Consider the following 27,589-nt stretch of genomic DNA (forward strand, 5'->3'; position numbering starts at 1 on the left):
GCCCGGGTGTCCAGCCGGCCCTTGCCCTGCCTGGCGCTCGGACCGCCACCTTTGCCGCCCCCTCGCCAGCCTCCGCAGCTTCCAGACTGGCCGGTCTGCGCGCCCACCCCTGCCTCCCGGACCGGCCACCGCCGGAGGCCGCGGAGGAGGGCCCGGCCGCGCAGATCCCGCTTATCGGGCCCATCTCCCGTTACATAAGGCCACCCCCCTATCTCCGCGGGCCATCGCCGCCGCAACCGCCGCGCCAGCGCCTTCTCCCACGCGCGGGGGCGCCCCTGCCCACCGCTCCCGGCAGGGCTTTTGGTGGCCATGGGGGATAAGGGGCGTTGACTCACCCGGGCGGGGCTCCGGGAGTTGCACAGACCAAGGTAGTTCCCCGCTCCTTCCCCCATCACGGAGACCCTGTGGGAGATGCCGTGGGCCCTCTACTACAGATTAGGAAACAGGCCCGTAGAGGGGTCACACGGCCAAGTAGCGGCACTCCAGGCACTGGGGGCCCTCGAGGGGAAGGGGCAGACTTCTGGGAGTCAGAGCCAGCAGCTGGGCTGGGAAGCTTCGAGTGTGGACAGAGAGGGTGGGAATGACGTTCCCTGTGGGAAGAGAGGGTGGGCAAGCCTGGGATGCCTCTGAGCGGGAATCCAGCATGCCTTGTGAGGAGGGTCACAAGCACACCCTTGTGAGGAGGTTGAGCCCCATCGAGGACAGGACGGAGGGAGCCTGAGCAGGCAGAGAGGGGGCCTGGGGAGGCGCTGGTTCGGGGAGGAAGTGGGTAGGGGAGAAATCTTGACATCAACACCCAACAGGCAAATGCCGTGGCCTCTGCTGTGGGGGTTTCTGGAGGACTTCTAGGAAAACGAGGGAAGAGCAGGAAAAGGCGACATGGCTGCAGGGGCCAAGCCCAGGAGCCGCCCTCCACAGCACTCATTCTGCAGAAGGGAAATTTGAGGCCCCCAGACGGCAGGGGTTGATCCTGCAGAGACTGGTGAGCAAAGGGGATCACCCCAAGCCCCAGTGGCACTAGGAACACTTACAATCTCTGACCTGGACTAAGGCTGCCAGCCTGGCCCAGTTAAGAGTTTCCCAGAAGGATGGCCCATACACTTTAAATTAAAGGGGCCAGACACGTGCACACTACTTCCAGCCACTCTGGAAGCTGAGGTGGGGGGATCGCTTGAGTCTGGGAGTTGGAGGCCAGCCTAGGCAGGCAACATAGTGAGACCCCATCTCCAAAAAAACAAAACAAAACAAAACAAAAAAACACCAAAAAAGCTCCCAGAAAGACCTCTGAATCTTTCTGGATCTCTCAGTGGAGACCTGGAAATCTGAACTTTGACAATCCCTCTCACAGTGGGGCCAAGGAGGAATTAGGCAAGCCAAAAGAAGTGAACTTTACTCTTCTATTGCCTGTTTGAATTTTGTATCCAAGCAAGTGTTACTTAAGTAATTTAAGAGACTGGTTCATCGAAAAAATAAAACTCCCCAAATTCCCATAGCTGGTAGACTGTGGTCACAGCCACAGTGCACTAAGACTATCTGCTCAGCACTTCTGGTGACCCAAAAGGGTCTGAGGACAGGAGCTCAGAGTTGGGTCAGCTGTCCAGGTACTCAGGGTTGTCACAGGCAAAACTGCTGGAACTCAGGGCAGCATTGCAAATGCCACGCCGCTCTCAGGGCCCCTTGCCTGCCGCTGGAATTAAACCCACCCAGATCTTGGAAACTCTGCCCTGGACCCTTCTCAATAAGTCCATGAGAAATCAAACTCTTTCCTTTATGCGACACTGGATTTTCCACAAAGTAAAATCAAGATGAGTAAAGATGTGGTTTCTAGATAGTGCCTGAAAAAGCAGAGACCATGGTGTCAGGCGTCACCACTTGGGCCTATAAAAGCTGCCACAAGACGCCAAGGCCACAAGCCACCCAGCCTATGCATCCGCTCCTCAATCCTCTCCTGTTGGCACTGGGCCTCATGGCGCTTTTGTTGACCACGGTCATTGCTCTCACTTGCCTTGGCGGCTTTGCCTCCCCAGGCCCTGTGCCTCCCTCTACAGCCCTCAGGGAGCTCATTGAGGAGCTGGTCAACATCACCCAGAACCAGAAGGTGAGTGTCGGCTAGCCAGGGTCCTAGCTATGAGGGCTCCAGGGTGGGTGATTCCCAAGATGAGGTCATGAGCAGGCTGGGCCTGGTCCTAAGATGCCTGTAGGTCAGGAAAAATCTCCATGGACCAAGGCCCGGCCCAGCCATGAGGGAGAGAGGAGCTGGGCTGGGGGGCTCAGCACTGTGGATGGACCTATGGAGGTGTCTGGCAGACTCCCCAGGGACTACCTGCTCTCCTGGCCTGGCCTTGTCTGCCACTGCCAGCTCCTACTCAGCCATTCCTGAACAGAGGACAGCAGAGAAGGGCCAGCACCCTCCCAGAACCATGTGGCATTTGCCAACTGGATTTTGACCATAACAATGCAGCCATTCTCCCCAGCACCATCATAGGCCCGCCCTTACAGGAGGATTCCTTAGTAGAGTCCGCTCCTTGCCCCACTAGTAACAGCTCACATGTCTGAGCACTGCTTACACCAGGCCTGGTGCACGTGCTTTATGTGTCATTTCATCACTGCCAGCCACCTCAAGAGGCAGGTACGATGAACCCATTCTGCTAAGGTTCAGTGAGGTTAAGTGACAGAGGCTGGATTCAAGCCAGGCCTGGCCAACACCAGAGTGTCCATGCTCCTAACTGCAGTGTTCCCTCACCATCAGAAGGCAGGGCATTTAATACACCAGATCCCCACCGCCTCCCATCTGATTTGTCTTGGTCAACAGTGGCCCAGGCCACTCCTACTTCACTCGTCCCCACCCTGGCCCTTCCCGCAGGCCCCTGTCCTCCTGCCCTGACTATGGCAAGCCTTGCATGCAGCTTGTCCCTTACTAGTGGTGTCAATTTTTTTCTCTCAGCTCCAAGACCCTAAACAGTGGGACCTCACCCCTATGCCTGCTGTTCAAAGCAGAAAACGAAGCTCAGGAATGCTGAGGGGCTGCCAGGCCTGCCTCTGTGCCACACCAGGGATGCTTGTGGGGCCTGTGCTGGGGCAGACCTGGCCTGGGCTGCCAGGGCAGGCCCACAACCCCTGCCAGCACTCTGCTCACTGTCACTTTGCTCCCACAGGCTCCGCTCTGCAATGGCAGCATGGTATGGAGCATCAACCTGACAGCTGGCATGGTAAGGACCTTTGGGTGCAGGGAGGATGGGGCAGAGGCTCCAGGCCTTGGGCTTATCTTCTCTGAGCCTCCCTTCCATGGCTGGGGTTCCAAGCAAGCTTCAAGTGCTCTCCTCCCTCCCGCCATAATCTGGCCCCTTCCCGCCCACCACCCAGACTCACCTGCGCCAGGCATCTCAGCCCCATCTTCCTGCAGACTCACAAAAGGCAGCTGCCCAAGCAGGGCCTGACCCCTCGGTGTCCCCTCCCCACAGTACTGTGCAGCCCTGGAATCCCTGATCAACGTGTCAGGCTGCAGTGCCATCGAGAAGACCCAGAGGATGCTGAGCGGATTCTGCCCGCACAAGGTCTCAGCTGGGGTAAGGCATCCCCCACCCTCTCACACCCACCCTGCACCCCCTCCTGCCAACCCTGGGCTCGCTGAAGGGAAGCTGGCTGAATATCCATGGTGTGTGTCCACCCAGGGGTGGGGCCATTGTGGCAGCAGGGACGTGGCCTTCGGGATTTACAGGATCTGGGCTCAAGGGCTCCTAACTCCTACCTGGGCCTCAATTTCCACATCTGTACAGTAGAGGTACTAACAGTACCCACCTCATGGGGACTTCCGTGAGGACTGAATGAGACAGTCCCTGGAAAGCCCCTGGTTTGTGCGAGTCGTCCCGGCCTCTGGCGTTCTACTCATGTGCTGACCTCTTTGTCCTGCAGCAGTTTTCCAGCTTGCATGTCCGAGACACCAAAATCGAGGTGGCCCAGTTTGTAAAGGACCTGCTCTTACATTTAAAGAAACTTTTTCGCGAGGGACAGTTCAACTGAAACTTCGAAAGCATCATTATTTGCAGAGACAGGACCTGACTATTGAAGTTGCAGATTCATTTTTCTTTCTGATGTCAAAAATGTCTTGGGTAGGCGGGAAGGAGGGTTAGGGAGGGGTAAAATTCCTTAGCTTAGACCTCAGCCTGTGCTGCCCGTCTTCAGCCTAGCCGACCTCAGCCTTCCCCTTGCCCAGGGCTCAGCCTGGTGGGCCTCCTCTGTCCAGGGCCCTGAGCTCGGTGGACCCAGGGATGACATGTCCCTACACCCCTCCCCTGCCCTAGAGCACACTGTAGCATTACAGTGGGTGCCCCCCTTGCCAGACATGTGGTGGGACAGGGACCCACTTCACACACAGGCAACTGAGGCAGACAGCAGCTCAGGCACACTTCTTCTTGGTCTTATTTATTATTGTGTGTTATTTAAATGAGTGTGTTTGTCACCGTTGGGGATTGGGGAAGACTGTGGCTGCTAGCACTTGGAGCCAAGGGTTCAGAGACTCAGGGCCCCAGCACTAAAGCAGTGGACACCAGGAGTCCCTGGTAATAAGTACTGTGTACAGAATTCTGCTACCTCACTGGGGTCCTGGGGCCTCGGAGCCTCATCCGAGGCAGGGTCAGGAGAGGGGCAGAACAGCCGCTCCTGTCTGCCAGCCAGCAGCCAGCTCTCAGCCAACGAGTAATTTATTGTTTTTCCTTGTATTTAAATATTAAATATGTTAGCAAAGAGTTAATATATAGAAGGGTACCTTGAACACTGGGGGAGGGGACATTGAACAAGTTGTTTCATTGACTATCAAACTGAAGCCAGAAATAAAGTTGGTGACAGATAGGCCTGATTGTATTTGTCTTTCATTTTGGCCTTTGGGGACACTGGTCTGTGGTCTGAAGACTCTGAGGAGCTCTTCGGGAGGCTGGTGGGTTGGAGGAGGGGACTGGGATGGATTACAGCGAGGGTAGGGTGCAGTGACCTGGGCTGAATGCAAGCTAGCTCCCGAGGGTGGGGACATGGCCTGAAGGAAGCCCCACCTTCTGTCTGCTGCACCAGCAAGGACGGAGAGGCTTGGGCCAGACTGTCAGGGTTCAAGGAGGGCATCAGGAGCAGACGGAGACCCAGGAAGTCTCACAATCACATCTCCTGAGGACTGGCCAGCTGTGTCTGGCACCACCCACACATCCATGTCTCCCTCACAACCCAGGAGGCCGATGAGAACTGTGAGGCTCAGAAAGCGTGGGCGGTTTGCCTAAGGTCACGTAGCTACTTCCTCACTGGGGTCCTGGGGCCTCAGAGCCTCATCTGAGGTAAAGGAGCAAAGTTGGGATTGGGGTCCAAAATTCACTTTAACTCCAAAGCCCACACACTTAACCACCCTGCCTATTTCTGTCCAAATGTCACCTGTCCTGAATGGAGTTTTTCCCCCTGTACAACTGTCATCAACCTGTTCGGGCCCTCTCACTGACAGGCAGGTCCCTACCTATATTTGAGGGGCAGCCCATTGCATTTCTGGACAGCTCTCGCCATTAGGGTGCACACACGCACCACCTCTGTGAACAGGGCTCTGGCTAGGCCACTCCTCAGCAGCTCTTGTTCCTTCCCCATGGCCCTGGTCAGCAGCTGGAGTGCAGAGACCAGCGGGCCTTACCAAGCCACAGCTCCAGGCCATGCCCGTCAGCAACACTTTTCACTGTGACTCTCTGGGAGGTGCCCAGGGCAGAGGGTGACTCCAGGATGGGATGCCTTTGCAGTGGGTGATGGTCTTCAAGAACCAGTCTCAAACTTGTAGTGACAGGCAGGTGCCCTCCCTGGGGAGCCCAGAGCCCTATGGGAACACCACAGTGATGCTCAGAAGTCCCTGAAGGCAGCCGCCCTCGACTGCTCATGGCTGTGTCATTCACGCAACAGCAGAGGACGTGGCAGGGAGTTCGCCAGGGGGCTGATGATGGTGGCCAGCTACTCCAGAACCACTCACTTTCCCCAGGGAGAGGCGACGGAAGAAGGCAAACCTGACAGTGCAGGGGGCAGGGGACACTTGGCCTAGAGGAGAGAAGACTGTGGGGGTGAAGAGGGTGATGGTGCAAGAGCTGGGTCTCCAGCAGGCTGTCCCGGGCAGGAGACAGGACCGGCTCTCTGGTGCCAAGCCTATTAAGTCCTGCCACGTTTGCTGAGGAAATACCTGCGGGGGACCACCCCACAGCAGACACCTGGGCTAGTGACAACCAAGACACCACATGCACTCAAGATTTAGCCCCTGAAAGAACTCTGTAGAAACAACAGAGGGTCGGGTTGGGGGAGCTGTATGTCCTCCCTCGGGAGGGCCTCCCCTCTGGAGGTGAGCAGTGGCTGCTTCCGCAAAGGACGAGAGAGTCTTGGAAGCCAGGGGAGGTGGGTGGGAGTCAGGGTCTCGGCATTCTTCTCCATCCAGAGCCTAGGGTTTAAGGCTGGAAGGATATTTACGGAGGGTAATGACTTTGTAAACAAGACCTAGAAATCTATCTCCCAGTAGCATCATCTTTGACCCATGTCCTCTCTGCCCAGCCAAAGTATTGCCCTGCCTATCCAGAAAGATGGAAACCCTTCCAGTGAAATTCCACGTGACTCCCTCAAGAACAAAGACTGGAATTGAGGCTGATGTGGGGCAAGGTTCCTCGGGATCCTCCAAGGCCGTGCTCTGAGCCACACATTCAGGACAGCCTGCGAGGCAGGTGCACAGTGCGGATGGCCGTCCCGGGCCCCACTAGGGGTCTGCAGCTCGCCACTTCCTCAGCCACCGCCGAGCTCCTGTCCCTCACACCTTCCAGGCTGCTCCCCAGGAAGGGGGACCTGTGGTCACTGGCAGTGTGCCCTGGGCTGGAGAGGGCGTGGGGCTCTCCAGGGATGAGTGACACCTTACTGAGCCACAGAACCAAGCTGCAGCTGGTGGCGACAGGGAAGGGGCCCTGTCAGGAATGAGAAAGGAAGACAGAACAAGGTAGGTAAGTGTCAGCACTGCAACTGTGGCTGGGAACCTCCCTCCCTGGGGACTGAGCCCTGGTGGTGTTTGCTGGGAGTTTTCTCTAACCACGTGGCCTAAGTTCTTTCATAAACAAGGCAAGCCCTCAGCAGGACTCAGAGAGAAGGGGGTTGAGAAGGGAGAAGAGTGCTTGGTGAGTGGGAGGAAGATGCTGGCCATGGGGCCCAGGGCGGGGAGCCCCTTGGCACCTCGGGAACCCCAGCCCAGGAGGTTTCACTGGAAGAGAGGCTGGGCTTGAGTGAGAAGTGAGACACACGCGAGTTTCCGGTGAACTCGGCACCAAACACCTCAGTTTGCTGCTCAGATGAGGTGTCAGAAAATGCTCCCAGTCACTTGGCAGGTTTCTCCGAGGCTGGCCCCCTGTCCTGCGCAGGACGAGAAGGAGCAGGCCCCAAGGGGACCAGGCCCGCATCTTATTTCCTTGTGACCGAGGCAGCAGCTTGAAGCCTGGCCTTCACCTGGCCCAGCGGCTTATCGCTTTTTCATTAGGGTCAAAGAGAAATGTCTTCTGCCTATGCCCTTCATCTAGCTGGTGCATTGTAACACACTCCAAACCTGTTTCCCACTTCGCCTGCCTCCCTTCTAAGAAGGTCCGGCTGGGGCCAGGCTGACTATGTTCCAGACAGGACAGCCTGGCCAGGGACACACTGGCCAGCTCCTATCTGGCCTTTCTAGGGGTCCAAGCTGGGGTCAGGACTGGTGGCTGTCTCCTCAGCTACCCTCCCCCACACTCATAAAGCCCCATTATCTTCATTCATTTCTCAGCTCCACCCAAAAGCAAGAGGGCAAGGGTTTGCAACAAACTTTCCCAGATCAACTGATTTCTCGGCAGCAAGGGAGGGCCCCATGACAAAGCCATTTGAAATCCCAGAAGCAATTTTCTACTTACGACCTCACTTTCTGTTGCTGTCTCTCCCTTCCCCTCTGCTATACCTTTTCTTGGGGAAAGTGATTCTCTCACAGCGTCGTTCAGAAACACCCCCAGCCATGTGCTGCCTGCCTGGGCAGACGCTGCTGTGTGGTCAGAGGTGACGCAGGCACCAAAATTAAATATAGCAACTCTCGTCAGCTCCACTCTCTGCATCACTGTGGACAACTGTGCGGGGGCTGGACACCATTTCCCCAAACCCTCAAGGGAGGAAGGCCCAAGCCACCGATGGCATCCCCTGTAGACCCACAGCCCGATGGCCTGTTGGCCACACAGTCCACAACTCCCTGCCCAGCCCAGGGCCCTGTGCCAGAGGAGCTGTGGTGATGCCACATTGGAAAAGGCAATTTTTATTTACTCTTCTTTCTTCTGATCTGTTTCCCACATTTTCTATAATGAGCATGCATTCATTTTCCAATGGGAGACAAGGATAAATTTCATTTTTAAAAAGCAAAAAGAACATGAACGTGATGTCTGCTCCATGGAGGATGTGGACCGAGACAGGCCAGTGAGGAGACCTGGTTGCAGCATCCCCCGGCTGGACCAGCACCAGCACCCCTCAGACCAGCCTAAGTCCTCCCTGGGGAGCCGGCCCTCTCGGGAGAGGAGGTGGGGGTCTGCAGGGGCCTGCAAGGCAGCCCCTCAGCCAGACAGGACTAGCACCGCTCCTCCCATGGGTTGGGCACTCTTGGACCCATCAGATCCCACATTGCCAAAGACAGAGGAAGGTGCTGCCTTCTTGGGGGTCTTCACTAGGCCCTGGCCTGCCAGGGCACAGGAGCCAGCGGGAGTGGGAAGGGAAAGGGTAGGCCGCCCATCTAGCTCTGAGGCTGAAGTGACATTAACACTATGGGGACAGATGGAGCATTCCTGCAGACTCCTCAGCAGCTCTGCCTCTCTTGGGAGAAGGACCTTCCACCTGCTTCTGAAAGGCAAGAGAAGCCAACAGCCTGCAGAGCTACTTCCCCACAGCTCCGCAAAGCGGAGTCTATGCCACTGCCTGCCAGCCTCGTTTCTCTCCTCCCCTCGGTCCCTGTGCCCTTGGATGGGGCCCTCCATGTGTCTGTGCTCTGGGCCCCATCCCCTCCCCTCTCAGGAACACAGGCAGAGCATATAGCCGGGGGCTCAGGGTGAAACTAGTCCCAGCTTCAAGCCCCAGCTGTGTCCCTGACTTCTAGTGTTGTTACTTCAGCCACGTCTCAGTGGCTCCGTGGAAATGGAGCTCCACTCATTCATTCAACAAGTATGGATTGAGGCCTTGCCTGGGTGCCAGACCCTGCTCTAGGTGCTGGGGGTCCACTAAACAAAACAAGGTTGCTTCTAGCAGGGAGACAGAATAAGCCAACGAGAGAACACTCAGTGTGTCGGGCGGTGGTAGCCGCTACCGTGGGAAATAGAACAGTCCGGGGCTGCACAGCAGGGAGAGTGCTGTGTTATGCGAGGAGGTTGGAGAAATCCTCCCCATGAGATAAGATGGGAACAGAGATCGGGACGAAACAAGGGGAGGGGACACCCATGCACAGATCGGGGCAAAGTCATCAAGGGAAAGGGAACTGCAGGTGCTAAGGTCTTGAGCAAGAGCGAGCTGGGGATGCCCTTCCCAGCACTCACGGGTGGCCCTCGGGCTGGAGCAGAGGCCACGGCAAGGGCAGCAGGAGCCCAGCAGGGCCTCAGAGGCCAGGACCGGGCTTCATTCTAAGTGGAATGGAGTGATGTGGTCTGACTCACATTTTAACAAAGTCACCGTGGCTGCTGTGTGGAGAACGCAACGCAGGGCGAAGGCGGAGCAGGGAGATGAGCGCCAAGGTGCCTGCAGAGATGCTGGTGGGGAGCGATGGTGCTTGTGGTAGTGGAGGACTGGAGAGGGGCGTGTGTGTAAGATGCATGTATACATTATACTGCTATCGTATACATTATTTACTTAAATAGTATATTATATAATCCATAAAGTATAGATATAAATATATAATATATAAATGTGCATATATGTTAATATTTACATTTGCTATGCAATTACAATTTTAAAATCTTCTATTACAGAAAATTTCAAATATACACGAAAGTCACTCCCAAGCATCCATTGCCCAGCGTCAACAATGAGCAACTCATGGCCAGTTTTGTCAATTTTGTTCCATCTCTACCCCCGCCCCTTCCCCACCACCACCAATCCGAGATGTCACATCAGTGAAAGGAGAGGCTTTGGGGTGGCTTGGATATGAGCGTGTGAGGTCTTCCCGTGTTGTGTGTGAACAACTGCAAGGATGAAGCTGCCGCTCGCTGAGCTGGGGCAGCCTGTGCTTGATTGTGTCCCATTCAGAACACAGCTGACAACCTACGACGCAGCCTGCAGCCCAACACAGCTGCCCTCCCAGATGCCCATACTGAGTTCCACCTCATCTGGCCACTTCCTGTGCCCCCAACTGCACTCAGATATCTCATGAGGTCACTGATTATCAACTCCACTCCGTGCAGCAACGCATGTCTGCCCTTATCTAGCCTCACCTACGAGGAACATTGCTGCCGCTGACCACTGCTCCTCCTCCCTGGGCCTCTCTCATGCCTGGACTCTGCACCCTGCCTCACCACCTTCCAGTGTCGCAGGAGTGCCCTGGCTCATTTCTTGTCCCCTGTCTTCTCTCACCCCTTGGCCATATTGTTAGGTCAACAGGAGTGGAGGAGAGCCAGGGTGACACCATTTTAAAATCAACTCCATCTTAAAACTAGCTAGGCATATTCCTTGCCAGTCACTACCCATGGTCATGAGATGTTTACGCCAAGGAAGCAGTTTAGTCACGCCCGCAAGGACAAACTCCTACAACAGCAGAATGTCTGGGTGTCCTGATGTCTCATAACAATATATGCTTTCAAGCTATTTACAGTAATGCTTTGATGTACTTACTCACTAAAAGGCCAAGGATAAAACATTATTTAAATCAACAAAGTACTAAATTTTGTGACACTGTCAGCCCACCTGCACATAGACATAATGTAGCTTGGCTTTTGTATAGACAAGACCCCTATATAAGAAAAGCTTTAAGCAGACAAGGCGTTCCTGCTCATGCTTTCTGAGGACACCCTACTCTGAGTAGTTTTCTACATCCTTTCTTTACCACACACCACGACTCACCTTGAATTCCTTCCTGTGCGAGATCCAAGAACTCTCTCGGGGTCTGAATCGGGACCCCTTTTTCCAGCAACACTGTGTTCTTCCCCTTGGCTTAGTCACCCTCCATGTCTACTGCCTGCAGGCTGGACCCTCCCCTGTTCTCAGAGTATGGCCCGTAGCAGCCCCTCAGCTGGTGGCTCCCACCCGCCGCCTGCCCTCTCCCCTGCCTCCTCCCCAAGCCAGAGACCTGGGGCCACCTGCGACTTCCTGCTCTCCCTCACCCCCACATTCAGTCACTTCCAAGTGCTATTAATGATGATGGTGGTGGTGATGGTGATTGCTGGCATTTTCCGGGGGCTTGCAATATGCCGGTCACCACACCAAACACTTCATATTTGTCACCTTCTATAGTATTCCCTCGCCCCTGTAATCAGCCCAGTTTTACAGAGAAGCCTGGATGGGGGAACTTTTCCAAGGTCACCCAGAGCTGGGATTCAGAACCAGTCAGGTCCCGTGGGCACCAAGACACCAGGTCTTAACCTAGACACTGTGCTGGGCCAAATGACTCAAGAGCCCACAGCTCTCCCTGCCACCATCCCACCCGATTCGCGCCAGCTGCCTCTGTCACGGGCGCCTGCAATGCTCTGGCTGGGTCCCCTCGGCCCGTGCTCCCCTCCTGGGAGCCCTCTCTTCAGTGACCTCGGGGCCTTCCACCTGCTGTCCCTTGCCTGCACTCACCCCACCCTGCAGCCCCTGCTCCTGGCTAAAGCCGGCTCATCCCTAACTCTGCTTAAGTGCCCCTCCCTCAGAGAAGTCTCACCTTTTTCCATGACTAAGCCTGTGGGGGTTGGAAAGCACTCTCCTGGGTGCTGGCCTGCAGGACTGACAGAAGAGGAGGGAGGTGAGATTCACCCGACTCGGACCACAGGAATGGCTGGGACAGCAAGCATCAATGAACGAGGCCCGTGGAGACTGGGCTGCATTGTGCGACCTGTATTCCTTTCTCCTAGTTGACTGCCGCGTTTCTGACTCCTTTGAAGCGAGCATCTGGCTTTTCCAATTAGATGAAGGCTGACAAGCTGTGGAGGGGAGGGCGGCAGATACCATGTACCTGGTCATTCAGACTAGGGGTGTCCTTGAGCAGACTCATGGTGTGGAAGTCAGACCGGGAGTCTCCTGGAGCAGACTCACAGTGTAGGGGGTCAGCAGAGGCAGCAGCTTTGGAATCCCGGCACTGCAGCCTCAGGGGTGGCTCGCTGAGTGGGTCAGGTCTTTAGGGTTCTGGGCCCAGCCTGGAGCCTGCCCCTCCAGCCCTCCTGACATTCTTAGAAGCACCTACTTTCCTGCATGAAATCCTTTCCTGACTAAAGCACCCACAGCTGTGTCTGTTCCCTGTAATGAATCCAGATACTAAAGTAGGCGGGCTGCAGTGTGGAGACCGTGACCCACCAGAAACAAGGACGGCAACTCAAAGACGGAGGAGGCACATCCAGGAGGAACCTGTGGGGAGGGCCCGTCTGGCCAGATCTCCACTGCCCTGTCCAGACTTGGGCTTGCCTAATAGATGAAGCATCAGTCATTTCAGCAACTCAAGATAGGAGTCATCATTATCATCATCACACTCACTGTGTGCCAGGCACTATTCTAAATACTTGAAAACTTTAAATGTATTCATTCCTCAGAGCAACTTCATGAGACAGGGACAGCTATGACCCCTATTTCACAGATGAGGCTGAGTAGCGTGCCCAAGGTCACACAGCCAGGAGGCACAGCAGCCAGGCCTGACAGACCACCTGGGCCCAGCGTCCGCTCTCTTAGCCACCGTGTACTATAGCAGCCTCTGTTAACAGACCCCCTTTCTGGATGACACATGCCAAGTACTTTCCATGGAACCACTCACTTGCTCCTCACAAGGAAGAGCCACATTATTCCCATTTCACAGGTGAGAAAATCGAGACCCAGAGAGAGTTAATGATCTACTCATGGTCACAGAGTTGATAAGGGCTCATTTGCTGGACTCCCAAACGCAGTGCTCATAACTGCTACGTTCCAGGGCCTGAAGGAAAAACTCTGCATCCATGGAGGGGCCGGCGCTGGTTCTCAGCTCTCACACAGGGGAGGGGAAGGGGCCTGTGACCGACACAGCCAGAGACAGCAGTATTCAACCTCCCTCCTGAACTTTGGTGTCAGGCCCACCACACCCCGCCAAGGCACTGCCCATGGCCCTGCAGGCTCGGAGACTCCTTCGCAGTGGTGGTAGTGGTGGTGATCACTGCCCTCCTCTTTGTCCCTGACAATGCAGGCACCCACCTTCCCCATCTCTACCCACCTGCCGCACCTGCAGCTGCCATGGTGCTGTCCCTGCAGGCGAGGATGGCCCATCCCCCACTTCTGCCCTCTGGGGAGACTCCTGGTCACTCTCGAATGTTCTGGACAGTTTATCCTTTCATCTTTGGCCTCATTTCACCATTGAAACAAACAAAACAAGCTGGATTCTGCTTCTGAGCTGAAGGTGCCCACCTAATATTCCCTTTTCACTCACCAGCTCTGCCCTCAGAGCCTCAAGCCCAGGGTCTGCCCTTTAGTGGGTGCTTAGAAAAACACCAGATGGACACATAAATGGCTGTTCCACTGCCCCCACAGACGCCCCAGAACCCCGCCCTCCCCACCAGCTCCCCTTCTGCATCCCCGACTCTCCTTGAGAACCTATTTGGCAGAAGCTCTCCACCCAGCAAGTCCGCAGCTTGATGAGCTCCCTCCTGTGTTAACTGGAACCGCTGCTGTACTTCATTCCACATAATAGTTCATCGGATCCAAAGTCCCCACCTGCTTTGGAAGCAACCACCTGCTCTTCTCATAACTCTCCTCCAGTTTGTGCAGTGAAGAATCAACCTTTATCCAAGAAGTCTGGCCTTTGTCCTGGCTCTTGGGAGGTCCTACCAGCTACAAACCCTTGGAGTAAACAACGTGGCTAGTCCTTGTCACCAGTTCCCAGGAGGTAGCCCCAAATTCCTAGGGATTTCCCAAGTGATAGGAGTATCTTATTATTCATGGTGGTCTCTGAGAGTTTATGCGAGTGAAGTGACTCATGGTGGGCCCTAGGTAGTTTTTGCTGACAATACGACCATGGAGGGGCTGGCCACGCCACTGAGGTTCTGTGATATCAGCCTGGCCTCCCGGAAGGAGACCAGGAAGATGAGTTCAACCCAGTGGCCAATGAGTCCATCAACCACACCTATATGATAAGACTCAAATAAAAACTCTGGACCCCAAAGCTCAAGTGAGCCTCCCTGCTTAGAAATAGTCAGCATTTTGTCACACGTCAAAGTGCTGAGAAGGTGATGCCTCTGACGCCACACGGGGAAGACAATGAGAGCTTTGTGTTTGGGCCCCTCCTCCATCTCGCCCCTGTGTCTCCTCTTTTGGCTGGTTCTGATTTGAATGCTTTTGTTATGATAAAACTGTGGCCTTACGTATAGCACTCTCCTGAGTTCTGTCAGTCATCCTAGTGCATTCTGGAACCTGAGGGGTAGTGGAAACTCCCAGATTTGCAGCCAGTCAGCAGTGAGGGTGGGCTGGGAACCCCTGAATGTGCAGCTGGCGTCTGAAGCAAGGGCAGTGTTGTGGGGGACCATACCCCTCACCTGTGAGGTGTGGCTCATCTCAGGTGGTTTGGCATCTGAAGCCACTGCATTTAGTTTGGTAACCTTGCTGCCCAGTCCCAATGGAAGGATCCTAAATATGGTCTAAGGACCTCCTGATACAATTATCCAGATTCTCTCCTTCACAGAACTTGAGGCACTGCGATAAGATCCAAAACTATATATAGACAGTGGAATACTATACAGCCTTAAAAAAGAAGGAAACGCTGTCATTCACCACAACATGGATGAACCTGGAGGACATTATGCTAAGTGAAAAAATCCAGGCACAGACAGACAAATACCACATGATCTCACGCATATGTGAAATATAAAAAAGCCAAACTCAGGGAGGCAGAGAGTAGGATGATGGTCACCAGGGGCTGGGAGGGTGGTGATCAGGAAGATGTTGGTCAAAGGATATAAAATTTCAACTGGGAGGAGTTAAGTTAAAGAGAGCCATTGTACGACATGGTGACAACAGTTGATATCAATGTCTTGTATACTTAAAAATCATGAAGACAGGCCAGGCGCAGTGGCTCACACCTGTAATCCCAGCACTTTGCAGGGGCTGAGGTGGGTAGATCACCTGAGGTCAGGAGTTCGAGACCAGCCTGGCCAACATGGTAAAACCCTGTCTCTATTAAAAATACAAAAATTAGCTGGGCGTGGTGGCAGGCACCTGTAATCCCAGCTACTCGGGAGGCTGAGGCAGGAGAATTGCTTGAGCTCAGGAGGCAGAGGTTGCAGTGAGCTGAGACTGCGCCATTGCACTCCAGTCTGGGCAACAGAGCAAGACTCTATCTCAAAATAAATAAATAAATCACAGAGTAGATTTTAAATGTTCTTACCAAAAATAAATATGTGAAGTATTGTATAAGTAGCTTGATGTAGCAATTCCATAACATGCACATTTCAAAACATTATATCATACAGCACAAATATGTGCAATACTTATTTGTCAATTTAATAATAATAATAATAAGGGAAGAAAAGATCCAAAACAGAGGCAAAACCTTGGCCGGGCATGGTGGTTCACGCCTATAATCCCAGCACTTTGGGAGGCTGAGGTGGGTGGATCATTTTGAGGCCAGGAGTTCGACACCAGCCTAGCCAACATGGTGAAACCCCATCTCTACTAAAAAAAAAAAAAAAATACAGAAATTAGCCAGGCGTGGTGGCATGTGCCTGTAATCCCAGCTACTCGGGAAGCTGAGGCTGGAGAATGCCTTGAGCCCAGGAGATCAAGGCTACAGTAAGCTATGATCACCACTGCACTCCAGCCTGGGTGACAGAGTATGGGGGCAGGGGGTGGTGAGGGGGGGGCGGGGAAGTGGAACAGAGGCAAAACCTTAGCAACACACATTTTTAGATGATCTTCCAGAATAAATTCATAGGGAGGCCCAGGCACAGTGGCTCACGCCTGTAATCCCAGCACTTTGGGAGGCCGAGGCAGGCGGATCACGAGGTCAGGAGATGGAGACCATCCTGGCTAACACGGTGAAACCCCGTCTCTACTAAAAATACAAAAAATTAGCCGGGCGTGGTGGCAGGTGCCTGTAGTCCCAGCTACTCGGGGAGGCTGAGGCAGGAGAACGGCATGAACCCAGGAGGCGGAGCTTGCAGTGAACTAAGATCACGCCACTGCACTCCAGCCTGGGTGACAGAGCAAGATTCCATCTCAAAAAAAAAAAAAAAAAAAAGAAATTCATAGGGAAAAGAAGGTCAGAGACCAAGGGAAGGGAAGGTTCTGGGAGAAAAGCAGGGGGCAGGCAGGGCCCAAGAATCCTGCTGCCCATGAGCCCTTACTGGGAGGTGGGGTGGCCTTGCACAGGGCCCAGGCACCTGAGTGAGTGGTGGGGTCCTTACGTTCACTGCTGGGGTGAGGCAATGAGCACCTTATTGTGTCCACATGAATTCAATAAAAAACAAGCAGGGCGGGTGGTGGGGCACTGACTAGGAGGGCTGATTTGTAAGTTGGTAAGACTGTAGCTCTTTTTCCTAATTAGCTGAGGATGTGTTTAGGTTCCATTCAAAAAGTGGGCATTCCTGGCCAGGCATGGTGGCTCACACCTGTAATCTCAGAGCTTTGGGAGACTGAGGTAGGAGGATCACTTGAGCCCAGGAATTTGAGATGAGCCTAGGCAACATAGTGAGACTCTTATCTCTATCAAAAAATAAAAATAAAAATGAGCCAGGCATGGTGCGGTGGCACGCACCTACTGCTAGGGGGGCTGAGGTGGGAGGATCACTTGAGCCTGGGAGGTTGAGGCTGCAGTGATCCCTGATCACAACATTGCATTTCAGCCTGGGTGACAGAGTGAGACCCTGTCTCAGAAAAAAAAAAAAAAAAGTCATTCCTGAAACCTCAGAATAGACCTACCTTGCCAAGGGCTTCCTTATGGGTAAGGACCTTATGGACCTGCTGGGACCCAAACTAGGCCTCACCTGATACGACCTGTCCTTCTCAAAACACCTAAACTTGGGAGAACATTGTCCCCCAGTGCTGGGGTAGGAGAGTCTGCCTGTTATTCTGCCTCTATGCAGAGAAGGAGCCCCAGATCAGCTTTTCCATGACAGGACAGTTTCCAAGATGCCACCTGTACTTGGAAGAAGCCAGGTTAAAATACTTTTCAAGTAAAACTTTCTTGATATTACTCTATCTTTCCCCAGGAGGACTGCATTACAACAAATTCGGACACCTGTGGCCTCTCCCTTCTATGCAAAGCAAAAAGCCAGCAGCAGCCCCAAGCTGATAAGATTAATCTAAAGAGCAAATTATGGTGTAATTTCCTATGCTGAAACTTTGTAGTTAATTTTTTAAAAAGGTTTCATTTTCCTATTGGTCTGATTTCACAGGAACATTTTACCTGTTTGTGAGGCATTTTTTCTCCTGGAAGAGAGGTGCTGATTGGCCCCAAGTGACTGACAATCTGGTGTAACGAAAATTTCCAATGTAAACTCATTTTCCCTCGGTTTCAGCAATTTTAAATCTATATATAGAGATATCTTTGTCAGCATTGCATCGTTAGCTTCTCCTGATAAACTAATTGCCTCACATTGTCACTGCAAATCGACACCTATTAATGGGTCTCACCTCCCAACTGCTTCCCCCTCTGTTCTTCCTGCTAGCATGTGCCGGCAACTTTGTCCACGGACACAAGTGCGATATCACCTTACAGGAGATCATCAAAACTTTGAACAGCCTCACAGAGCAGAAGGTGAGTACCTATCTGGCACCATCTCTCCAGATGTTCTGGTGATGCTCTCAGTATTTCTAGGCATGAAAACGTTAACAGCTGCTAGAGAAGTTGGAACTGGTGGTTGGTGGCAGTCCAGGGCACACAGCGAGGCTTCTCCCCTGCCACTCTTTTTTCTGAGGGTTTGTAGGAAGTTTCCTCAGTTGGAGGGAGTGAGAGCTGCTCATCAAGGACTTCTCTGTCCGGTTGGAGGTTAACTCTGTCTCTTGCTCTCTCATTTCTGCCTGGACCAAGACTCTGTGCACCGAGTTGACCGTAACAGACATCTTTGCTGCCTCCAAGGTAAGAAGCCGTCCCACGGTCTGTTTTAGCAAATGGGGAGATCCATCCCCAAATGTCTGAACAAGAAACTTGTCTAATGGAAAACGAGCGGGCCCAAATTAACTCTAAGGTGTTAGATGTTTTCAAAGAACGAGAAGTCTGATCTTTACTCTTAAGCATGTTTTGGTCTTTCTGGTTTCACTTGATTTAGAAGACATGTAATAGAAAGCTTACATGCTGTAGTCCTGACTCAGATCCTGGTCAAAGAAAAGCCCTCTTGGGTTTTACTTAGCTTTGGCATAGTGCCTGGAACGTAGGAGGCACTCAATAAATGCCTGTTGAATGAGAGAATTTTTCTGGCCCATACATTTCTGAAAAACCAAATACTCTCACAGAAACAGATATTGAGATGACAGGTTGAGGGAGCTTTCATTTTGTCTAAGAGACTTCCTATGGCAACAGAAAAGGTATCGCCAGAGCCCCTCCTCTTCCACAGCCTGGCCACCTAACAGCCCTCTGGGTTCCGGGGCTGGCCGTCCAGAGCTCCTCAGCTTGCTCTGGCCGGCCGAACTCCCCTCCAGCTCGGTCTGGAACCATCCTGCTGGGCAGCGTCCAGCACATCCCTGCTTCGGGCTGCCTGGGCACCTCGCCTCTCTGCCTCCTGTGCTGCCTCACCCCCACCCCTCTATCTGTAGTGGGAGGAGATAGATTTGACAGCTGATAGTGCATTTTCTCTGACAAACACATGACTACAGCCGTATCAATAGTTTTGTGCATTTCAGTTCCTGTTTTCATGGAAACACACGGCTGAGAATGAAAGCCCCAAAGCCTCAATTTCACAGTGGTCTCCTAACTACCTGCTTTCCATGCAAACTAGGGAGATGATATGGCCAGGAGTGAAGCCCTGTGTGTTGGGCAGGGTCACACTCCAGCACCCAGACCATAGAACAGGGCCCATCCTGCTTCATGAGGGAAACTGCTCTTCGGGCCTTTAGCTGGACTATCTCATTTCATTAGTTATCCCGGGAGTCCGATACAGGATGAGATTCTGAAGGGCAAATACACACTTTTTTTTTTTTTTGAGATAGGGTCTTGTTCTGTCACCCAGGCTGGAGTGCAGTGGTGCGATTTCAGCTCATAGCAGCCTCCACCTCCCAGGCTCAAGCTATCTTCCTACCTCAGCCTCCCAAGTAGCCGGGACGACAGGTGTGCACCACCACGCCTGGCTAATTTTTGTATTTTTTTGTAGAGATGGAGTCTTGCCATTTTGCCCAGGCTTGTCTCGAACTTCTGGGCTCAAGCAATCCGTCCACCTCGGCCTCTCAAAGTGCTGGGATTAGCCACTGCACCTGGGCAACAGTTTATGTGTGTGTGTGTGTGTGTGTGTGTGTGTATATATGTGTGTGTGTATATATATGTGTGTATGTATATATGTGTATGTATATGTGTGTGTGTGTGTGTGTGTGTGTGTATAAAATCTCCAAGTCCATCCAACCGAGATGGCTCCTACTAGAAGCCAAGAGTCCACCGGGTTGAGCACTGGGTCTCTGGAGGCCTGTGGCACTGCTGAGAAGGCTCTAACAAAGCCAAGGGAAGGGCCACCTCACTAGAAGCCAGGCCTGGAGGAAGGGTGAGGGCTGAGGGCCTGGAGGTAAGACTGCCTGTGGTTTTAGACCCAGCTCTGCCACTGACTAGCTGTGTGGCTGGCCTTCAGCACATCTTCACACCTCTCTGCACCTCAGTTTCCACATGTGAAGATATGAAAGTGATTCTGAAGGTGATTGCAAGGTTGATTGGAATCCAGCTCTTGAGTTAGTGCAAAGTGTTATTGTGAGATGATATAACCACGATTAAAAGCAAGAACAGGTGCAGAGAAGCGATGATTCTAAGAAGGAGGGGACCGGGTTGGAAAGGATCAAACCATCCAGGATGCCGAGTCTGGGGCAATCCATCTGGGCTGTTTCTGGAAGACCCCCGGGTGCAGGCCAGGACACTGCTGCCCTCCCGTCCTTAACTCCCCTCTTCACTCAGTCCTCACTCACCTCCCTCTCACACACACAAACATCTCCTAGAATAATCCCCACTGCCTGCCTTCACTCTTACCCGTCTCATTTGCCTCCCCTGAACTTCATCCTCCTGGAGTTCACGATCTCACTCTTCACTCTTTTCTTCCCCTCGAAGATTCAGCACTGCTTACTTACATGTTAAGATATTTCAGAACAGTGAAATGTTGCTATTTTCAAAAACCTACAAAGGTGGTATGCAGAGGAAAAGGTACTTCTTTGTGTTCCCAAAGAAAACATCTTTCCAAAATCCAGCCTATTGATTTTATTTCTTCGGGGGAACAAGAATTTTAGTATCTCTAAGTTGGGTAGCATTCTACTCTTGGCAGTTGCTGGAAAGAAGGCACTGGTCTAGGTCCTGGGCTTCACAGGTAACACCTGTCAGGGTGTCTATGAAGTCAAGGCTGTCTGAGGAACAGCAAAGTGGGAAGAAGCAAGCTGGCTGGCTGATGAAGGGTTTCTTGGGTGGACAAGTAGTTGGAGCTATTTCCTATTTACCAAAGAGAGCTAAAGTTCATAATTCTACAGAGAGTTCCATAATGAACCTCAAATACCTCTGTTTTTTGAAGGAGTTTCTCATATACAGCACTAGCTGACTATCCTGGGCAGGATGGGAGATAATGAATGCAGTGCCAATCGGGCTGGATTTATATGGTCCTCAGTGAGGCTGGTCAAGAACCGAGTTAGAACTCTCACAGAGTCACTGCCACAGAAGAAATCTCCCAAGTGGCTGTTTCCTGACATTCCCGGGAGGGACAGGCCTCCTTCTGAGTCACTCCCTAAGCAGTTCTGAACTGTGAGGTCAGCCAGGCTGTCCAAGTGCACTCCCTGAGCCACTGGCAGACACACTCAGCAGCCAGAGCTAGACAGGCAGGTGGTAGGAGTCCAGGGCCACGGCAGGGATGGAGTGTCGCCCCCTCGCTGCGATACCAGAGCAACTAAAACGTTAAGGCCTTGCACTAAAGCTGCCCTTAGGATGCATTCTTTTAAAGTTTTTCCATTTAATGCAGACTCTTTTCAATTCTTATTTTATCCTTGTTTCCTTTAGAAAGTCCTTTCAAAAATATCTTTAGAGGGTTTTTTCCTATACTATGTGGCCATATACGGGTCAAAATTAAGTTTAATTTCCAGGCTCCAAGCCAGCGTTTCAGAAAAATCTCACCAAGGTTTGTGGTAAAAGAAGCAAAGGGCTGACTTTTTGGTTTTCTTGAATCTCACTGTTCCCTCTGCAGCAGCATGCATGTCTGCCCACCTCCAGACACACAGGCACCATCTGCCGCCCCCCATCAGCCCGTGTCCCTTCCACCTCGACTCGCCTACAAAGCCCAGAGAGGTCTGTTTCTTGGCCCCCAGAGCCCAAAGATACTGACACACTCTTACATTTCCAACTAGAATCAGGAACGAGGAGTGACTCTCAGTCAGTTCATTAAGTAAATGTCTTTCTAACCGCTCTGCCCATGGGACATCACGCCCCACAGGGGAAAGGGGAAGCTTCTGTAGCCTGGGATTCTGGTGCCTCAGTCTGGGTCTAGACTTTCCTGAAAAAACGTTAAAATATGAACTGCATTCCTAGAATTTAGCCTACATAAATAAGAGATGAACACAAAGATTTCTATAGTTTACTCACTGCCGCTTATTTACAGAAGCAAAAATCTGCCACGATAGGGGCCTGACAAATGACAGTACCACTGTGCAATGCGTTTCTACGCAGCTCTCAATCCCATGTTCTCTAATACCACCGAAGGGCTTAGGAAATGCTTATGGTATATGTAAAGAGTAAAGAAGTTACAAAACAGTATCAACAGTTGACCCCTATTTTAAAAAGTATTTTTAAAAGTGTGACGATATTTACCAAAATATTAACAGCAATAGTTACCTCTGGCTGGTGGGATGAGTGAATGTATTTTTGTTGAATATATGTTACCTTTATAGTAAATATATGTTATCTTGATCATCAGAAAAAAAAATATGTAAGAACTTGAAAGCTGCTTGGACAGCGCTGCTGATAGAAACCCCTGAGCATCTTGTCACTGTTCTTCTGATTCAGAGGGTCTGGGTGGGGCAGGGGTGGTCTGAGATTCTGTATTTCTAAGAAGCTCCCAGTGATGTCCATGCTGCTGGTCCATGGACCACACTTTGAGTATCAAGGGACCAGAGCATGTCGGGGGAGAGGCTGGGGATAGCTTTCTTTATCTGAACTGGATAAAGGAACTGGGCTCAAGCTAAGAACCCTCTCCAGGTTCTGCATCTTTGTTCTTCAGTGAAAAATGAGAGGACACACCAGGCCAGGTTCAGACTGAGACACAATCCCTCTCCTGGGTTCCCAATGACTTGTCTCTTGTCCATTCCCTTCTCTAAGGCTAAGGGCCCCCAGGAAGAGCCATGTGGCCAGACCCTCACAGTTGCTGGCATTCCAAGGAGATTCTCACTCCGCATCATTTGGGGCCAAAAGGCCCCTTACAGAAGCTCTGCCCAAGGCTCAGATCAATGGCACCTGCTCCCAGAGCCTCCTCTGATCTCCCAGGACACCTTTCCCTGATCTGTGCACTTATCTCTTGCTGCCTGGCAAAATGTCTTAGCTCCTCACTTGGGCCATGTGCTGCTCTCCTCTCCCATGGGGAGAGCCACACGGAGAGTGCTGGCCAAAGCAGCAGAGTTCAGGCCAAAGGATGTGCACTCATTTATTCAACAGGCATGCAGGATTTCCAGGGAAAGCTGGATTTTAAAACCTCTGGGAACAAGAGCAGAACCTGACTGAGAGCTCATGTGGGCACTTTTCATAGCAGAATAGCTCATGAGGTATAGAGACACGGACGCAGAACGTGGGCTGTAGCGACAGATGGTCCTGCATTCTAGTCCCCACTGTGCCTTTTCCTCATGGGATGACTTTATTCAGGTACCCTTTCGGCAAAATCCTCCAAGAGAAAGGAAACTGGGAGGTTCTGGGGAGAAGGCTGCTGCGTTTGCAATTGGGAGAGGTTGTTGACAGAGGTTTATGTCTGTGGCAAGCAGCCTTCCTTCAGTGGAATACTTGAAGACAGGTCTGTAGTTGAGCAAACTCACCTCCATTTGTCCTCCTGGAAAGAAGAAATCAAGAGGAAAAATCTCTCTCCCATCCTCCAAATGGAGCTGGCACATTGCTATCTGTGGCATTTGTCTTTCCAGAACACAACTGAGAAGGAAACCTTCTGCAGGGCTGCGACTGTGCTCCGGCAGTTCTACAGCCACCATGAGAAGGACACTCGCTGCCTGGGTGCGACTGCACAGCAGTTCCACAGGCACAAGCAGCTGATCCGATTCCTGAAACGGCTCGACAGGAACCTCTGGGGCCTGGCGGGCTTGGTAAGCTGCACTGTATTCCTGGCAAGCCGGCCGCGTGGCTCCTGGTGGACAGCAGCCTCACTTCTAAACACTCCTTAGGAGCTGCAGCACCCTTGGTCAACCCATTCATTCATTCACTCATTCAATAAGTATTTGCTGAAGTTCCACAAGTGCTGGGTGTGGTTCTAGGTGCTGAGGACGTGTCACTAAAGACACGCAGGCCGAGTCCCTGTTCTCATGGAATGTTCTAATGGGAGAGTTAGAAAAACAAACATGTAAAATGATGGCCAGCAGTGATACGTGCTACAAAGAAAAACATAGAAATAAAGAACATAAGAGTCATGGGGGAGGGGGCTGACTTAGGAGCTGGTGACATTATCTGAGCAGATATTTGAATTGAGGGAGCAGGCCACATGACTAACTAGGGAGACCATTCCAGGCAGAAGGAGGAGGTATGCAAAGGCCTTAGGATGGAAATGAACTAACTTCCTGTATTTAAAGACCAGTAGGAAGGCCAGTGTGGCTGGATCAGAGTGAGTGAGGGGTAGTTTCCAGGACAGCAGATCACACAAGGCCTTTAGATTCCACCACGAGTATGGCAGGGAACACCTGCAGAGCTTTGGGCAGGACAAAGACTGTACAATCTGATTTACGTGATTTAAAAGGGTCAGTCTGGCTACTGTGTGGTAAATAGGCTGAAAGGGGGAAAGCATAGAAGCAAGATGGCCTGTTGGGAGGCTACCACAGTAAACCAGGCTAGAGATGATGGTGGCGTGGACAGAATGAAGCAAGATGGCCTGTTGGGAGGCTACCACAGTAAACCAGGCTAGAGACGATGGTGGCGTGGACAGAATGAAGCAAGATGGCCTGTTGGGAGGCTACCACAGTAAACCAGGCTAGAGATGATGGTGGCGTGGACAGAATGGGAGCAGTTGAGGTGAACAGATTTGGGATATGACTAAAAATAAAACCAGAAGGATTTGCTGACAGATCGGTTGTAGGGGGTAAGATACAGGGGAGGAAAAGATGACCTCTTTGTTCCTGCCCAAACCCCTCTGGCGATGGTCAGTACTGTTTACAGAGAGATGAAAGACTGGCGGCAAGGCAGGGCTGGAGGTTCAGCAGAAGATCAAGAGTTCAATTTTGTACATCGTACATGTAAGGTGGCTCTTGGATAGCCAAGTGAAGGTGTTGAGAAGATGGTTAGAAAAGTCTGGAACTTAGGGGAGAGGTCAGAACTTGCAATACAAAAAGGAGAGTCCTTAGATAGATACTGCTGAAAATCTGAATGACAGAAAGGGAGAGATCAAAGGACTGAGCCTGAGATCAACACATGGAGGTCAGGAGAGGAGGATCCAGCCAAGGGGCCTGAGGAGGAGTGACCAGTGAGGCAGGAGAACACTGGAGAGTGGGCGGTACCCCAGGAAGCCGTTGAGGACACTCAAGGAGGGAGGGTTGACTGTGTCAAATGTACTGAAAGGACAGGTCAGGTGAGGACCAAGAAAGGCCCCTGGGTTTGGCTGATGGAGGCCATGGGTGAGGCTGATGTAAATGGAGAGGCAGGAAGGAAAGCCCAGCTGGAGTGGGCTCACCGAGGATAGGGTGGCGAGAGGAGACAAAGAAGGAACAGTGAGGGCAGAACACTCTTTGAAGATGTTTAGCTATAAGGCTGCAGAGAAACTGACCCACAGCTGCAGGGTGGTTATGGAGTGAGGGAAGCTCTTTTAAGGTTGGGGGTATACCCAGCATGTTAATGCACCTGGGGGAATGGTCCAGTGGAGCAGGAAGAACTGAAGAGAGCAGAAAGAGGAAGAATCATTAGGGGGCAGAAGTCCTTGTAGCCCAGAGTGGATGTTATCTAATATCGAGTGGAGGAATTAATTGGCTTTAGAGGAGAACAAGGACATGTATCCCCTCTCTGGGCCTATCACCTTGTAGACAATGGGATAGGTCATGGGATAGGAACTTGGCACAACACATGTTCTCTCTTTTAATTCTCTCCATTATCTTATGAAGCAGGCAAGTAGGCAAACAATTGTCCCAACTTTACAAAAGAAACTGAAGCTTTTATAAATTAAGTAGTACATCCTAAGCAATACAATTAATAAATGGTAGAGCTGAGATTCAAACTGAAGCAGTGGCCTGGGGGTAGCATCTGGAATCCTTCCCACCTTTAGGGCTGCTGTGCTGCGGTGCTGCTGTTTAATGGCACAGGAGGGCCACATGACTGAATCTCTCTCAGCAGTCCAGGCAGTCATGCAGAAGGCCCAGTAGAGCACCGGGCAGGTCTGAGCCAGCATCTTCAAGTTCCACCCTCTGAGCAAGCACCTAGCTGTGACACACCTCTCCAGAGACTGCACTCCCCCCCGCGCCACCCACCCCAAAAGCAGATAGGTAATGGTATACAGTAACCATTTCTAGAAGTGTAAGTAGTATGCACCCAAAATAGGCAAAACCTGCTGGCCTAGTGATAGAGACAACTCCCAGTCAGGCTAGACTGGAGGCCTTGGTTTTATAAGTGTTCAGGTGACAAGTGCCACAGTAGGCTTGATCAAGTAGACAGGCAGGCAAGACAAATGCTTACCAATGCAAGCTAATGAAATGTTTCTTTTGCAGAATTCCTGTCCTGTGAAGGAAGCCAACCAGAGTACGTTGGAAAACTTCTTGGAAAGGCTAAAGACGATCATGAGAGAGAAATATTCAAAGTGTTCGAGCTGAATATTTTAATTTATGAGTTTTTGATAGCTTTATTTTTTAAGTATTTATATATTTATAACTCATCATAAAATAAAGTATATATAGAATCTAACAGCAATGGCATTTAATGTATTGGCTATGTTTACTTGACAAATGAAATTATGGTTTGCAACTTTTAGGGAAATCAATTTAGTTTACCAAGAGACTATAAATGCTATGGGAGCAAAACAGGAAAGACCACTTCCCCCTCGAGGGGTTCCCTCTCGAGTTAGGGACATAACACACAAGATAATTAAAGAACACAAGGCCATACAAGATGTAAATAAGACACCTTGGGTCCAAGAGTGCTATGGATTACCATATATTTCTGAACAGAAAAGGTATCAACTGGATGTCTAAAACGTTCTTCCCCCATTGGCACAAGGATTGTTATACTGAGTCTACAGAAAAAAGAAGTAATCCTCAGTACACCATATGGCTCTACAGTGAACGATATTTAAAGTCATAATAATGTAAATTCTCTTGATTCTCAAGTCTTAGAACCAACCAATAGACAAAGCACAGAAGACTTGATGATGGTTGGAGAACAGACTATAAATTGCTATCCACTGAATAATATAAGAGCTATAGCTGGAAATGGCTGGGAGGTGAAAGCAGAAGAAAAGAGAGGTGGGCATTGCTATCTCCAGCTTGCATGGACAAGAGGGCAGTTAAATAACACTGTGCACAGTGGATGGAACAAGAACACAAGGTTTAGGGATTTATCAAAATCACAAAGGTAATAGAAGAACTAAAAATAATTTACTATAAAAATTTGGAAGTGATAGAATTAGGTAAATTCTCTTTCTTCAATAGGGAAATCAATGTATGACATCTAACACTGATAAAGCAAAAAACAGTGGGTAAAAGTGGTCATGGGTTGACAGTTGTTGCAGCTGGGGATGTGTACAGGGGGTTGGTTATACTATTCTCCTTTTATACATAATTGAAAGTTTTCATAATAAAAAGAGAAGAAAAAATAATGAATCAAGCAATCTTTGGAATTATAATGATAGTCACTGGAAAAACTAAAAATAAAAATGGAAGATGGTTTGCTGGGAATGGGACTTGGACTAAGGAGGGGTGAAACAGGGCTGGAGACTTTCGGCTTTCCATTATAAGTCTGTGTGTGTGTGTGTGTGTGTGTGTGTGTGTGTGTGTGTGTGTGTGTGTGTGTGTGTGTGTGTGTGTGTGTGTGTGTGTGTTATGTGCATAAATGAAGTTTTTTCATTAAAGAAATAACATT

At 51.3% G+C, this 27,589-nt stretch overlaps 2 protein-coding genes and 1 long non-coding RNA gene across 8 annotated transcripts, besides 8 other annotated features; 2 read left to right on the forward strand and 1 right to left on the reverse strand.

Moving 5' to 3' along the window:
• Positions 116-405: a silencer, noted in NCBI's record as "silent region_16329". NCBI's record gives its function as "represses an Ori minimal core promoter by ATAC-STARR-seq in GM12878 lymphoblastoid cells {active_cell/tissue: GM12878}" and the evidence as "EXISTENCE:reporter gene assay evidence [ECO:0000049][PMID:35858748]".
• Positions 260-4,848, forward strand: IL13 (interleukin 13). Of its 4 annotated transcripts, NM_001354992.2 has the most exons (6): positions 260-368; positions 804-982; positions 2,028-2,098; positions 3,156-3,209; positions 3,462-3,566; positions 3,913-4,848. In NM_001354992.2, the coding sequence occupies exons 4-6, from the start codon at positions 3,177-3,179 to the stop codon at positions 4,018-4,020; spliced, it is 246 nt and encodes an 81-aa protein (NP_001341921.1). In that variant the 5' UTR covers positions 260-368; positions 804-982; positions 2,028-2,098; positions 3,156-3,176; the 3' UTR covers positions 4,021-4,848. The 4 variants fall into 4 exon arrangements, with proteins under 4 accessions (NP_001341921.1, NP_001341922.1, NP_001341920.1 ...); NM_001354993.2 differs by lacking the exon at positions 2,028-2,098; NM_001354991.2 differs by lacking the exon at positions 804-982.
• Positions 466-555: a silencer, noted in NCBI's record as "silent region_16330". NCBI's record gives its function as "represses an Ori minimal core promoter by ATAC-STARR-seq in GM12878 lymphoblastoid cells {active_cell/tissue: GM12878}" and the evidence as "EXISTENCE:reporter gene assay evidence [ECO:0000049][PMID:35858748]".
• Positions 636-695: a silencer, noted in NCBI's record as "silent region_16331". NCBI's record gives its function as "represses an Ori minimal core promoter by ATAC-STARR-seq in GM12878 lymphoblastoid cells {active_cell/tissue: GM12878}" and the evidence as "EXISTENCE:reporter gene assay evidence [ECO:0000049][PMID:35858748]".
• Positions 6,631-6,710: an enhancer, noted in NCBI's record as "active region_23090". NCBI's record gives its function as "activates an Ori minimal core promoter by ATAC-STARR-seq in GM12878 lymphoblastoid cells {active_cell/tissue: GM12878}" and the evidence as "EXISTENCE:reporter gene assay evidence [ECO:0000049][PMID:35858748]".
• Positions 7,131-7,180: an enhancer, noted in NCBI's record as "active region_23091". NCBI's record gives its function as "activates an Ori minimal core promoter by ATAC-STARR-seq in GM12878 lymphoblastoid cells {active_cell/tissue: GM12878}" and the evidence as "EXISTENCE:reporter gene assay evidence [ECO:0000049][PMID:35858748]".
• Positions 7,341-7,520: an enhancer, noted in NCBI's record as "active region_23092". NCBI's record gives its function as "activates an Ori minimal core promoter by ATAC-STARR-seq in GM12878 lymphoblastoid cells {active_cell/tissue: GM12878}" and the evidence as "EXISTENCE:reporter gene assay evidence [ECO:0000049][PMID:35858748]".
• Positions 7,591-7,900: an enhancer, noted in NCBI's record as "active region_23093". NCBI's record gives its function as "activates an Ori minimal core promoter by ATAC-STARR-seq in GM12878 lymphoblastoid cells {active_cell/tissue: GM12878}" and the evidence as "EXISTENCE:reporter gene assay evidence [ECO:0000049][PMID:35858748]".
• Positions 8,697-9,224: an enhancer, noted in NCBI's record as "H3K4me1 hESC enhancer chr5:132000651-132001178 (GRCh37/hg19 assembly coordinates)". NCBI's record gives its function as "activates a minimal SCP1, AML or CMV promoter by ChIP-STARR-seq in primed H9 embryonic stem cells {active_cell/tissue: H9 hESC(primed)}" and the evidence as "EXISTENCE:reporter gene assay evidence [ECO:0000049][PMID:30033119]".
• Positions 17,727-26,416, forward strand: IL4 (interleukin 4). 3 transcript variants are annotated; one of them, NM_001354990.2, is made up of 5 exons: positions 17,727-17,923; positions 18,197-18,244; positions 21,519-21,619; positions 23,452-23,628; positions 26,224-26,416. In NM_001354990.2, the coding sequence occupies exons 1-4, from the start codon at positions 17,789-17,791 to the stop codon at positions 23,576-23,578; spliced, it is 411 nt and encodes a 136-aa protein (NP_001341919.1). In that variant the 5' UTR covers positions 17,727-17,788; the 3' UTR covers positions 23,579-23,628; positions 26,224-26,416. The 3 variants fall into 3 exon arrangements, with proteins under 3 accessions (NP_001341919.1, NP_000580.1, NP_758858.1); NM_000589.4 differs by lacking the exon at positions 21,519-21,619; NM_172348.3 differs by lacking the exons at positions 18,197-18,244; positions 21,519-21,619.
• LOC105379176 (uncharacterized) lies at positions 22,823-26,367 on the reverse strand. The gene is made up of 2 exons (NR_134248.1): positions 26,192-26,367; positions 22,823-23,854 (listed from the first exon to the last, which is right to left on the reverse strand). It is a non-coding gene; the product is annotated as an uncharacterized LOC105379176 (long non-coding RNA).

This window comes from Homo sapiens, chromosome 5 (assembly GCF_000001405.40).
Source record: "Homo sapiens chromosome 5, GRCh38.p14 Primary Assembly".
NCBI classification, from domain to species: Eukaryota; Metazoa; Chordata; class Mammalia; order Primates; family Hominidae; genus Homo; species Homo sapiens.

Bases quoted from the DNA above. Each gene is read 5' to 3' on its own strand.
- IL13 (NM_002188.3), top strand. From the start codon at position 1,925: ATGCATCCGCTCCTCAATCCTCTCCTGTTGGCACTGGGCCTCATGGCG. The intron at 2,099-3,155 runs GTGAGTGTCGGC...TTGCTCCCACAG, and splicing joins ACATCACCCAGAACCAGAAG to GCTCCGCTCTGCAATGGCAG. The intron at 3,210-3,461 runs GTAAGGACCTTT...CCCTCCCCACAG, and splicing joins TCAACCTGACAGCTGGCATG to TACTGTGCAGCCCTGGAATC.
- IL4 (NM_000589.4), top strand. From the start codon at position 17,789: ATGGGTCTCACCTCCCAACTGCTTCCCCCTCTGTTCTTCCTGCTAGCA. The intron at 17,924-18,196 runs GTGAGTACCTAT...GCCTGGACCAAG, and splicing joins ACAGCCTCACAGAGCAGAAG to ACTCTGTGCACCGAGTTGAC. The intron at 23,629-26,223 runs GTAAGCTGCACT...TTTCTTTTGCAG, and splicing joins TCTGGGGCCTGGCGGGCTTG to AATTCCTGTCCTGTGAAGGA.